Source organism: Homo sapiens, chromosome 7, assembly GCF_000001405.40.
Source record: "Homo sapiens chromosome 7, GRCh38.p14 Primary Assembly".
NCBI classification, from domain to species: Eukaryota; Metazoa; Chordata; class Mammalia; order Primates; family Hominidae; genus Homo; species Homo sapiens.
In genome coordinates, this window is record NC_000007.14 from 69,893,205 (window position 1) to 69,906,685 (window position 13,481).

Consider the following 13,481-nt stretch of genomic DNA (forward strand, 5'->3'; position numbering starts at 1 on the left):
ATGCCTTGTACATTCCTACAGATAGTAGTCTTCTCTACTTTCTAAAAAGTTTAGGCTCTGAAAATCTGTTCATAAAGTCCATTTGCTCAAAAGTCCAAAGTTGGGGACTGTTGTGAACATATCTATCTAGTTACTAGTTTTCTAATTTTTCATTTCTTATCACTGGAGACTCATTATTGGTAGAATCAGTGTTTGTAAAACCATTCAAAAACAAGTACAAATGGTATACAATAAACCAGCAAGGGACTTGACAGACCAAAATGACAGGACACAGCCATTATGTCATTGTGTCATTGGGGACAGGCAAAGCACTTTTTTCTTTTTCTCCTGGCTTGTTATTTTCTTTAAGGTCTCTAAGATCAGATAACTAACAGAAGAGGCTCAGTTTAAATTGCAAGCCCCTCACATACATATACATGCATTTGGGTGCATGCAGACACATATACCACAAATACTTTGTAAGTGATGGACTGCCCTCAGGTTAGTTTGCTTGGAAAAATCAGGCGGAGACTTTCTATAACCCACTTCATGCAAGGCAGACAAATTGTGCCCTCATTTTCTATTGTCTCTGGCTTCATCTGTAATCAGCAAATGGAGCCCTGCAGCTTACATAGTGTTTCATCTGCTATTTGTTACTCTCCCTTAGTTTGCACAACACTGAACCATCTCATTTTGAAATTCAAGAGTGGCGAGGAGGCCTTTGGTGGAAGATTGTAATTTGGGAGAAGGGAAAGTCAAGAGCAAGATCGCCTATTTTGAAGAAGGCGGGGTGTTGAAGGAAATTGCCTTTGTCAGTCTCTGAGCCTCTCCATATATGTGCTACTGTGACCCTGCCCTCCATCACCAGTGACCTAAAAATCACATAATTTCAACTATTCTCCAAACCTATTCACATCTGTTGTGCATGGCTTGTACACTTACCCCCTCTATTGACAGCCAATATGTCTAAATCTTTTTGCCTCTCAGCCAGCCTCTTGTTGGTGGCTCCCTGGCTTTCTTGCCTTCTTTCCTGCTTCTTCTATGACTGTCAAATGAATGCCTTAAAGCGTTTTTTTTTTTTTTTTTTTTTTTTTTAACAGATTTCTTTCTTATCCTTCTGCCCTCCTGCCTTTCTCTCCTAGTGCTTGTGTAAGGGAGGCAGTTTTTTTTATCTTTACCCTGTTAGGGTCTCTAGCTGAGGCTGAGTATTAAATTGATGTAAAATAGATTAACAGAAGAAAAGCATATGGATTTTGACACATATATAGGAGCCCCCACAGGAAAGTGAAGACCCAAAAAGTGGCAAATCTTGAATCCTTATTTAGTAGGTTGAACAGAGTGGCCGTTGTGGAAAAGTAACTAAAATAAATGATGTGGCTAAAGGAAGATAAGAGTTAGTAAGATCTGTTGGTACAAATTTTTCTGGACTCCCCATGTCTAGAAACGAGAAAATTTCTTCTTTCCTACTATAGGGAGATCATCTTTCACATGAGAGTTTTTTCCCATCTCAGGTGTTTCTGGTGATAATGTTTCTTTTCTCCTATCTCTTTTGTTTCTATTTTTCAAGTGCCTTTAGCTTTAAAATAATCCTTAGGCCTAAATAGCATGTTTTGGGGTGGCGTGTTCTGCCACTCTTCATTTGCTCATGCTTTCCTTGCAGAATATGGACTACAATCATCTTATTTTCAAAAAATTCTTCAGGTAATTCTGATGGACAGTTTCTCTTGTGAACCACTATCCTAGATCATGGTAGACGAATGAATCAACAGGCCTTTGAAAATTGCCATTCATTGATCCCAAAAAGTTTTTTTATATACCAGATAATTTCCCTCCCCATATTATAGCAATACTAGAGACTGCCCAGGTTTCCTTAAGGAAGTTCTTAAATTAGTGCTACTGGTTGGTTGGTGGTGGAGGAAAGCATTGGTGGGTGTATATTTACAAACAATTACACAGGCATGTAGTCATGTACACAACTCTTGTGACTGTTGATAAGATGATTAGTTTATGATCAGTCTTTGTCTTTGATTCTTAATGCTTATAATGGATAGTTTTTGTCATTTTTCTCCAAGACAGTCTGAAAAAATTAAATAGTTATTTTACTTTATAAATGGTAAGCAGTCAGTACCTGTTTATAGAGGGAATGAACAAAGAGTGGTCTGGTTTATTCAGGATTTGTACCAAAAAATCTATATAGTAATTTATAAATAAAGGTAGATCTTTGAAAAAAATAAAGATAATCTCTAGTCTCTGAAAATATAAACCTGTTACATAATAAAAAGTTGTTATAGACTCTTCATTTCTTCTTACCTCTTAAGCCACCACCTCTAGACACACTTTGATCCTCTCTCTCTCTTCTTCCCCCCCCCCGAGTGGAAAATCTCAATATTAATTGGAGCTAAGATGATTGTACTACTGCTGCTAAGACTTCAGCAGGTCTCTTACAAGCTAATGTCACGGCATGGGGTCCATTTGCTCTGTGTAGCTATTCTGCAGTGCAGTGAGAATTCCTTGATTAATATGCTACATGAAAATAAAATGGATTTGGAAAAAATTATAGCATACTCTCATAAATATTAATTCACATTTGTATGGAATTACACATAATTTTCAATATACTTTGGAAGCACCTTCAGTATGAAAGATTTGGTCTCCAAAGAGAATGGCATAATTTTTTTAAAAGCACAGTGGATACATTATTAAGCATCATTTGTTTATTAATCTGATCCTCTACATGCATATGATGCAGGGCAGTAGGTGGGTTGTGTGACAAAGAAAGGAGCTTTATACCCTGTGGGGAGTTTTTATATTACACTTAGAAGTGGTACAATTTAATCACATTATATAGAAGCAGCCCATGATGGAACTCACCTGGCTCCCTCTGCTAGTGTTGCCATTATTCCTGAGTGTCTCTTTATGGCAGCTATTTTGGTTAAATGTGAGACTAAACACAGAACATTTTTGAGCTGAGCAGATGCCTGGCATAGCTGACTGAGGTTGTGGACACTGGACAAAGGAATTCAATTCAGCAGCCATTCATTGAACATTTACTATGTGTTAGGCATAGCATGCAAGGCTGTGAAATCAATGGCCATGTGCGCTTGCTTTGATCTCGACTTGTCCCCTGAAACACTTTTCACCACATCCTCATTGCCTCAGGAGAGCTACCTCTCCGATGGCAGAGGGTTAATCGTCTGCAGTGGTAGCAGCTGGAAGTTAGGCCAGAAGCTGCTTATTTGCCTTGTGGACTGTTATCTTTGATATCTTCTTACTCTTAAGGATAAGGCCTTTCCCCTTTTCTGGGGTTTCTTGCTGTTTGCTGTGATCCTTCGTGTATACCAGCAGTGCACACTAGATTCCTTGGTTTCCTGCTTCTATCACCCTTTCTGGCTTGCTACACTGTATGTTAGAGACAGCTTAGACTATTTTAAAGTCAGTATTGTGCTTTATAGGTTTGGATGTTTTAACTAGTTGACTCCTTTATTTATGTATTTATTGACTAATACATTGGCCACCTACTATTTGCCTGGTTTATGTGAAGTACTTATGTGAAGCACTGGGATTACTGAGATGAACTACTTAGTCCCTCCCCTCTTTCACATTCTTTCAAGAGATTATGCACCCAGCTGCCTCAAGGCCTTTGCACAAGCTGTTCTCTCTGTTCAGCCTTTCAGATCTAGGTCAAATAGCAGTCATTTTCTCAGCTCTAACCCTCTCCTCTGGACTATATCATTTCCCTTAGTTTTAGCACCCATAACCTATCCTTTAGCGTTGTTAACTCAGTTTGCAATGATATATTTGTGTGATTTGATTAGTATTTGTCCTGTAAATTCTAGGCTCTATGAGGGTGGTGACTTTTCCCCACACCATTATCATCCTAAACATAGGTCAGTGCTACATTGGTACTTGGCATGTACTGGGCACACAAAACATAATTGTTGAATGAGTGAAGACCTGAGAATAGAGTACTTTGTATTACAAGAAAGGTCTCCCTGAGTGGGCAACACTGCTAAGAGTCACTGAACTAGAAAAGGGAGGAGTGTGTAAGAGAGGCCTTTTGAGGCCAAGGCAAATCAGTGTAAAGGCCTGCGTTAGTTTGTCCAGGCTGCATTAGCAAAATGTCATAAACTGAGTAGCTTATAAACAAGAAACATTTATTTCTCACAGTTCTGGAGGCTGGGAAGTCCAAGGTGGAGGCACCAGCAGATTCTGTGTCTGGTGAGAGCTTGTTTCTCATGGATGGTACCTGTTCTCACATGGTAGAGGGGCAAATAGACTCCCTTAGGCCCTTTATAAGGGCACTAATCCCCTTCATGAGGGTTCCACCCTCATGATCCAGTCAACTCCCAAAGTCCCCCATCTCCTGGCCAACATGGTGAAACCCCGTCTCTACTAAAAATACAAAAAAAAAAAAAAACAAAAAAAATGGCTGGGTATGGTGGCAGGCATCTGTAACCCCAGCTACTCGGGAGGCTGAGGCAGGGAATCGCTTGAACTGGGGAGGCGGAGGTTACAGTGAGCCAAGGTCGTGCTGTTGCACTCCAACCTGGGCAACAAGAGCGAACTCTGTCTCAGAAAAAAAATATATTCTGGGGAGACACAAACATTCAGATCATAACAAGGCTCAAGGTCTCAGACTAATAGGAATGGCTGATTTGGGGAGAGATGTCAGGGAGTACCATGCATGTAAAGTTGGGAGTGCTGGGATATTGCAGCAGAACAGTGAGAAAATTGGATGTGAAAGGGAGGAAAGAGAGCGGTATTTTAAGGAGAAATGAGTAAAAGGAAATTTCTATTTTGGTTTTGTTTTATTTTTAAATGTACATTTAGATAGTAAAAAATTTAATTGTTCATTTAAAAATAACTAAAATAATATAATTGGATTGTTTGAAATACAAAGGATACATGTTTGAGGTAATGGATACCCCATTTACCCTGATGTGATTATTACACATTGCATGCTTGTATCAAAACATCTTATGTAAGTCATAAATATATATGCCGACTATGTACCCCAGAAATGAAAAAATTTTTAAAAAGTTCATTTAGGACTGCAGAAACTGAGGAAGTGTGGTAAGGCTTCATGAGGGGGATTTTCTGTGTAAGAGGATTAGATCCACTAGTTTCCAAATAACTGAGTGCCAAAACATTTTCATTTTATTGCTTAGTGTGTGCATCATTTCTCACAGGGCAGAGGATATTTGCATGTATGTGGTTTGTTTGATGTTCTGAGAGCCCATTTTGCACGTGGTCTCAGAGTTGTAGTGACTTACTCCACTTCTGATAATGAATAATGTCAGTGTCCGGACACTAAAAGCCCAGTCTGTTGGAACCTTGGTGTGTACTGAGCTGCCTGGAGGCACAGAACTCTTATCAGGTCATGTGGCCTGAAATGCTTACCTGTAGTTTCTACAGATGCAGTTCCCCATTCAAGGACATTGATTTCCCATTTCCTACCCACCTCCCCTCATCCCCAACCACACACAGGAATAAATTAAAAGTTGCTGTTGATCTTGGTGATAATATTGTTGTTACATTTTGCAAAGAAAATGGAAATAAAGGATGCTTAGAGGAACATGTAAAAAAATATAATGCATTAAGGAAACATTTTAATCATATGAATAGACAGTTCTTTCTTGCTGGCTCACATCCACCTGGACCTGATAAATTCAGTTGGGTGCTATTTCTTTTGAATTGAGCATGCACTTAGTGCTCATTTTCTGAAACATAATTGATGTACCAACTTGGGAAATGAGTGTATTGCACTTCCTTGGGGAAGGTCATTGTGTGCTGGACCCAGCACCAAATCGAACAGAAAGCTGCTATCCCAGGGAGCAGTGAAATCACTTTTGATGCATATACTTGTGTTTTGTTTAGTTTTCTGCCCAGTAATAATAGAAAGGATATATATATTTGTGATGGCATTAAGGATTCAGGAAAATTGAGAAGCCATGTTTCTTAGTTTTGGGTCTTCTCATATCCCACTTTCCTATCCCTCTCCCACTTAGTAGTAACACCCTTTAGTATTTAGCCTATATTTTGGGTGTGACCCTAGATACCTTTGTAACCACCACTTCCCTTTCCTTCTCTTCTTTTCTACAGAAAGATGTAGCACTTAAGCCTCAGGAACGTGTGGAGAAACGCCAGACGCCCCTGACCAAGAAGAAACGAGAAGCACTTACCAATGGCTTGTCCTTTCATTCAAAGAAGAGCAGACTCAGCCACCCACACCACTACAGCTCAGATCGAGAAAATGACCGCAATCTCTGCCAGCACCTTGGGAAGAGAAAGAAAATGCCGAAGGCACTCAGACAGGTGAGGAAGCTTGGGTTCGCTCTTTCCTGTGGCGGCAAAATCCCTTCCTTAGGTGCTTCCTCCACTGTGGTTTTTCGTAACAGGTGGAGAAGATATCCTTGGTGGGATGCTGAAGTGGTTGTCCAACAAAGCTGTGTGCGTGCCTTTAAAAGAATCTAAAACCCAATCTCAGCTCTTTCTATGAGGATTTGAAACTTCAGCATGGTGCCCTTTCAGTCAGATGTGCTTTATGCAACAAAGCTTGATGCTAAGTGGTACTGGTATTTAGGGCAGACCTGTCTTAACAGTTGTCAAGATGGACTGGCTTGCAGGGGAGAGATCTTTGCAATTAGGATAAATGGAACAGGTGGATTTCATCACATACATTGTGCATCTCATGGTTCTAAGGTGCTAAAATGATTGCCTGTGTGTGAGAAATGCCTTGCTAAGATTTATATTTTCCGGGGAAGCTCAGATATTGTGGCATCTGGGAGGGCAATGGCAAAAAATGAATTTGCCTTTTGGTGTCTTAGTTGTTCTCCATAGGCTATAATTCAAGACTATCTTTGTGATCTGTTGATTGTATGAACGTCTGATAATGAGGCTTACTGGCCTGTTAATAATTAGGTTTCAATGATCCACAAGAAAGTATGGCTCTTGGCATTTGGGAAGCCTTTCTGCCTGTGGAAATCCCCACATGAGATGGATTAATAATGAGATATGAAGCTGTTTATAGCAGTTTTTCTGCACAAATCCAGAGGCTTCAGTGCCTGTCAAGTTAGTTACCTGTGTCCTGGGTGTGTTTTATTTATTTTTGGCAGGACCATTGGGTAGGATTGACTATCACTGAAGAAAGCAGAGGAAGGAATTGTGGTGTACAGAGCAGGTGCTGCTAATTAGAGGTGGAATAGGTAATTTTTGGTTTGCAGATGTTTCTCTGCAGAGGCAGGGAGATCTGGGATCAAACAAAACAATGGTTCCCAAACCACACAGATCTTGAGAATCATATAATGAGAGCTACTAAACCTAAATTTCTGGCCCCTCTTTAGGACCTAATGACATTTGTAGTTTTAGAAAGTTTCCTATTTGAAAACAGTCAGCCTGGTTGGAAGTCACTCTTACAAAGAATCAAGAGTGTATTTGGGTGATGGTTTTTAGTTAAAAGATTGGAAAGATCAAAAGCCTCAATATGATGTAGTGGGCAGTTTGGTGTCAGAATTCTGCCTTATACGTAGTGAAGCATATAATCCTGGTAAAACATCTGGGGTGATGGGTTTCAGATGGACCCAGAAGGCTTCCAAGGTAATGCCTAAATCTGACAACCAGCACAGTGTTTCCAAAGGTACACTTGTGTCCTGAAACGCCAGACTGGAGTTATAATAGTAATTATTAACATTTACCTAATGCATACTATGCTACATTCAGTGAGGGAGTTTTTATAGTATAACCTATAATTTGTACAACAACCCTGCCTAGTAGGTAATATCATGGTTACTTAACAGCTATGGAAACGAGGGCTCAAAGAGATAAAGTGACTTGTCTGAGGCCTTGTCAATGAGGGAAGGAGCCAGGGTTTAGACCCAGATATCTCTAGTTCCGTGGTTTGTTCTGTTTTCCATATTTAGATGAAGTTTTATTTATTTTTTTCTTGATAGGGAGTTGGGGAGAGGGAGGAAAGCCTAAGTTCTATAAAAGGTGATGTTCCTGTGGTATTTGTGACTCCTAACTCATGCCTCTGTGTGAGATATGTGAGAAAAGTAATTAATCTCAGTGGAGAGAGATTGCAATGTAACCACCCCCCTCTCCCTCAGGCCCCCGCCCCAGCAGGGTAAGAAGGAAGCCTTCTTACTCTGAGTTAACACCAAGCTGCGGATCCTCATCCTTGAATCTTTTTCTTCTAGACGTGATCTGACTTTTCTATTCTGTGTCCTCAGAATTATTCTTTGTATTTCTTTCTACTTCTTCGAGACTTTCAAGGTCCTCTGGTGACAGAGTTTTATGATCGGAAAAGAAGACTAAGACGTAACACATCTTAAATTTGAGTAGCTTTTGGTCTTAATGGCCAACTCTCTTGTACTAATGGTATTTGAAATCAAAGCTATCTTTGTTTTAGGTAACATATTTGAAAAGCAAGTATTTTGACTCTTTATGAATCATGGAGAAGGAAAGCATGAATTGTATCTTTGGCCCTATGTAAAACTTTTAAAAACAAGGAGTATTTTCTTACCTTCAGTGTTGATGCCAAAATATGTTATCCAATCAAGTGTTATATTTCTAGTAAGAAGGAATGCAGAAGGTGATAATTGAGATAAGGCCATAATACTTCTCATTTTTAATATTCTTAGAATCACTTGTGCTATTATGAAATCCCAAACAAGTCACCATCTGGTAACAGCCCATCTGGAAAATGAAGGGCTTGGACTTGAATGTTTCTTAGGCTCCTCCCTCTGGGTCCCATAGTTTTTTAAATTTATGAATAACACAAATACAGTGTTGTAAAGGTCTGTAAAGGAGTCTGTAGGTCTGAAGGTAATGCCGTTTTGGAGTCAGTCTGTAACTGATAGGCTCTGTGAAGACATTTATTTATTTTTAATGTTTTTTTTTCTTTAAAATTTTGTTTTCATGTAATATGAAGACATTTAAAGGAGAAGGGTAAGATGCATTTATAGTAGGAGGGAGGGGAGTGGTCCATTGTGTGTCAGTCCAGACAACTGCCATCTGTTATGTGATCATTGGTAAAAGGTGACACATGAGTGTTTAATGACCATAGTAGATGTTCAAAAAGCTTGTCTGAAGAATACTCGTGATTGCTTTCCTATCATCCTAGATGCCTGTAAATATCACAATTACTTTATCGCCTGCGTTTGCCTCTTATCAGGTAAAGAAACTGAATCTGACCATCTTAGCTGGGAGGGGACCTTGAGATGAGAGTGAGCTTTGAGGAGCATTTCTACATTAATGGATTGTCATTTAGTGCCTGTTATTGAGAACTACAGATGAAATAGGGAAGAGGCGAGAACTTAGTCTTTATTTCTGACTTGGTTAGAATGAATTAGGTTTGCATCTTATTAGGAAATGGTACTTCCTGAGCAGACAACTTAATGCACAGCTTTCCTGTAATTATGGGAAGATGTTACTCCTTAGTAGAGAGGAAAGAATAGGATTTTTTTTTCTGAGACTCCGTTGAAGGCAACTGATCTTTTTACTCGGAGGGTGCAATTATAATACTTTTATAGGAAAGATGTATAGTTCTAAAACCAAACTGCTTATTCTTTCACTTGCCTGGTTGTAAAACCCAAGTTCTTGTGATGTTTTTCCATACTACCAAAAGAAAGCTTTTAAACTGACACTTATTTGTTGGATTATGTTTTTAAGTATAAATACATACTGCCTTAGAAGATGCTGAGGTGGCACCTGTCTTGGCAAATGGTTGCACTTTTTGATATGAGAAATTTGAATACTTTTCTTACTTCCCAAAGGGGTTAAAATTATGAAGAAATCAATAAATTACCTCTTATACAACTCTTATACAAAATAGCGCATGTCTTTCTGACCTCTGTAAATGAACTATTTGTTCATGATGTAAGCACTTAGACATGATATAAAAAAAGTTTTATCATTTACTTACAAGGACATGGTACTTTTTTTTTCTCAATGGAGATTTGGGGGTGGGAAAAGCAAAAGAGGTTGCACATGGCCTCTCCTTAAGGAGCTTTATTCTCTAATTGGGAGACCAAGTCACAATGAAACCACTCAGGAACACAAGGAAGTCAGGTGTCGCTAAACCGATAAGCCAAATTATAACTTCCTGAGAAGCACTTTGGGAAAACTTAACCCTTCCCAGGGCATTGAGTTTAATTTCAGTATATCTGACTTCTAGACCATGGAGAATTCTTAAAAAATTTAGGACTTTGTAGTTTAAAACACACAGAGAGCAAAAGGGTTTTAAAAATAGAGTACCAATGATGAAAAGTTGATGAGCATTCAGAGAACTCTCAGATTTGGCTCTGACTGGATTTCTAAATCTCCATTTAGTCCATTAGTCTGTCCTTTCTCTGTAGTATCAACTGAGCCAGAGGAAATAGGCTTAAGTGAGCTAGAAGGCATTTTTAGGTTATATGAACTCTTCTAACAGACACCAAGATGAATCATCAAAATAAATCCTGTGGTCTCCCTCCTTAACTGAATTTTAGGTGCCAAAAAGCCATTCATCTTAGGGCAGAATTTCCTAAAGAAAGAGGCAACCTGTTGAGATTGCTTTAGTCACAGGAGAACATCATTTTAGAGGAAAATGGAGGAATTTGTGAATATTTCAGGAGCCTGTTAGTAGACTCTAACCTTGCTGGTAAGGATGGCTTATGTGGGAATGTCTTATGTGGTTTAAAAATCTTTATACAAGTTGATCTGGGTAGGTATTTCTTTTTAGGAATAAAAATTTGCTCTTCTCTCTCTGAAAATCCAGTATGGTGGGAGATTTGTAGTTGACATTGTAAACTGTAGACACCAAAAGTGTCTACTGCTTTCTAGGAAGAAGAGGAATCCATCCCAGTGCCAGGCATTTAAAATTAGAGTGATTACTAGAACTCTGCATGGTTGCATCTGCTTCATGTATTGACATTGTACCTTGGTCTTCCTTGGAGTAAGTGATAGTGGTGCTATAGACTTAAGAGCCCAGGTGACTGAGCCACCCTCTCTTCCCACCTGTCCTGATGGAACAGTCTATCCCAGCCCATGCTCTTTCCTGTTGAGAGTGTTTGCTACCAGAGGCTGGTCCCTTATTTCAGCACGACTTAGACTTACTGCTTTTGTCTGAAGAGCTTTCTCTAAATTTGTTACTAGTAGAAATTAACTTGCAAAGGAGGATTTATAATGGAAAACTTTGATTAAACGGATCCAGTTCAAGTCTCGTTTCTGAAGATCTGCTAATTAGTTTTGGATGGAAATCTAGGCCAAAAATCACACAGGTATTTATCCAGCTTGACTCTAGAGCCTACAGGTTTCTGGAAATCAGAGCATTTGAGACACGAATGTAATTTGGGATTTTACTGTCATAATGAAAAGACATGAACTTTGCTATGTGCTCTTTCATACATACTTTTGTTATAATATTTAGATGTCTGCTGGTACCTTGAACTAGTATTAAGAATGTCAGTTAAACCGTTTCTACCTCATACTTCAAAATTTCAAGTTTACCATGTTAATTGGGATTTCATTTGCTTTCGAAAAATTTTGTAGTCATGTGAAGGTTACAAGCTAAGGTATCAAATAAAATTCTTTATATTTTTTTCCTTTTTATGAATTTAAGTTGCATACTACTTTTTCCCCTTGCCTAAAGTATAGAAATAAGAAAAACTGTAAGGAAAGATGGAGGGAATAAAAGATTGGCTTATGATCTCTCTTTGGAATATTGATTGACTTGAATAAGAGTGAGATGCTAGTTTTAACATCAGGTAATTGAAGAACCCCAATCTAGGCTTGTCTGTGTTCAGGAATTACTCACGTATTGTATTGGAAGTATTGGTTTGTAACTGGGATTGGTAAACCTGACACTAATATAATAATGAGTTATATGAAAGGTGTTTTGCTTTTGTTTTATCTTGAGCATTTGGAAACAGGTTTATTCGTGTTTTTCATTTTGTGTCTTTTGACTCTATACTTTGTTGCTGTGAGCCCTGAATGTTGGGAATAGTGAGCATAAACATCACTTAACTTCAGTGAGATACATCTTTGGAATGTTATGACCAGTAATAATTTTATCCTAAATGACATTTGTAATTTTAAATAAAAATTTAGTAAAAATTGACTATGAAAAGGACATAGCATATGTATTAGGATTCTCTGGAGAGCAAGTACCAGTAGAATATATATGTGGGTAGATAAGAGGGGATTCATTCGGGGAATTTGTTCACATGATTATGGGGGCTGAGAGGTCCCATAACAAGCCATCTGCAAGATGGAGACCCTGGGATTCACAGTATGGCTCAGACCAAGTCTGAAGGCCTGAGACTGGGGTAGTCCTCAAGTCCAAAGCCTAGAGAGCCTAGAGTTTAGATGATCAAGGGCAGGAAATTATATCCCAGCTCTAGGAGAGAGAGAGAGACCATTTCGCCTTTCCTCTGTTTTTGTTTTATCTGGACACCCGGCTGATTGCATGGTGCCTGCCCACATGGAGGGCAGATCCTTCCCTACTTAGTTCACTGAGACTCACATGCCAATCTCCTCTGGAAACACCCTCACAAACACACCCAAAGGTAATGCTGTACCAGTTCTCTAGGTATTCTTTAATCCAGTCAAGTTGATACCCTAAATTAACCAACACAGCACATTAACTACCACCTCATAAAATAAAACCTGCAGAGAGAAAATAAGCTGAATGGGAAAAGGAACTGCAATGAAAAGAATGGGCCATAATTCAGCTTGGGTGATCCTGATACCTACAGGAGTTGTTCCATAAAACAGTGACCTTTTATATTTCCCAAAGTAAGAAAATTTTATATGTGTATTTGTGCATGCAGAACTTTATTAAGGGCCATTTAAATCCCATATATTGATAGAGGAGTTAAGAAAGATAAAGTGACAGGAGTGATTCTCAACTCTGGCTCCCATAAATTTCTACAATGTCAGTGATTGAAGAATGAGGGAGCACATCTTTCCTTTAATAAGGCCTAGCCAGTACACTTTTGGTAGTTGATGAGGGTAGGACAGAACTCCCTTTCTTTATTTGAAACTGTGTATTTTTGTGCTGATTAAATTTTACATTTTTCCCTCTTGTGATGATATAAAGTTATCTGCATGTGGCCAGATCTCAGCTAAAGAACATGAAATAAGCCTCTGTACATTCTGCATTCTAATCTCTGTTCACAGCAATCTTGTATCCACACAAGTCTGTACATGACAGGTAATGAGTGGGAAGTGGGAGGAGATGGGTGTCTGTGTGGTTTGCACTGGTGGTGGTGGGGAACTGAGCAGATGGTTGTGATAGCCACATGCTGCGTGATTCCCGTGGGAGTTGATGGTGGTGACAGGCGACTCACAATGTGCTATTTACAGTTTGGGTTTGCAGTCTTTCGGTGACATCTGAATGCTCTTTAGCAACTGCTTTCATTACTGCCTTTCGAGGAGCTGTTAATTGAAAATGAAATTGTGGGTGGGCTTTAAGACAGGCAGACGCAGGCAATTCTGTGTGGTAAATGTTGCTTGAGAACTGT

At 39.1% G+C, this 13,481-nt stretch overlaps 1 protein-coding gene across 21 annotated transcripts in view; it reads left to right on the forward strand.

Moving 5' to 3' along the window:
* AUTS2 (activator of transcription and developmental regulator AUTS2) overlaps nt 1-13,481 on the forward strand; it is a 1,195,032-nt gene that overhangs the window by 294,730 nt on the left and 886,821 nt on the right. For all 21 annotated transcript variants that reach the window (XM_011516010.3, XM_011516013.3, XM_011516014.3 and 18 more), the window contains one exon: nt 6,082-6,294. In XM_011516010.3, coding sequence (XP_011514312.1) covers nt 6,082-6,294 — 213 coding nt within the window. The remainder of the gene's footprint in view (nt 1-6,081; nt 6,295-13,481) is intronic.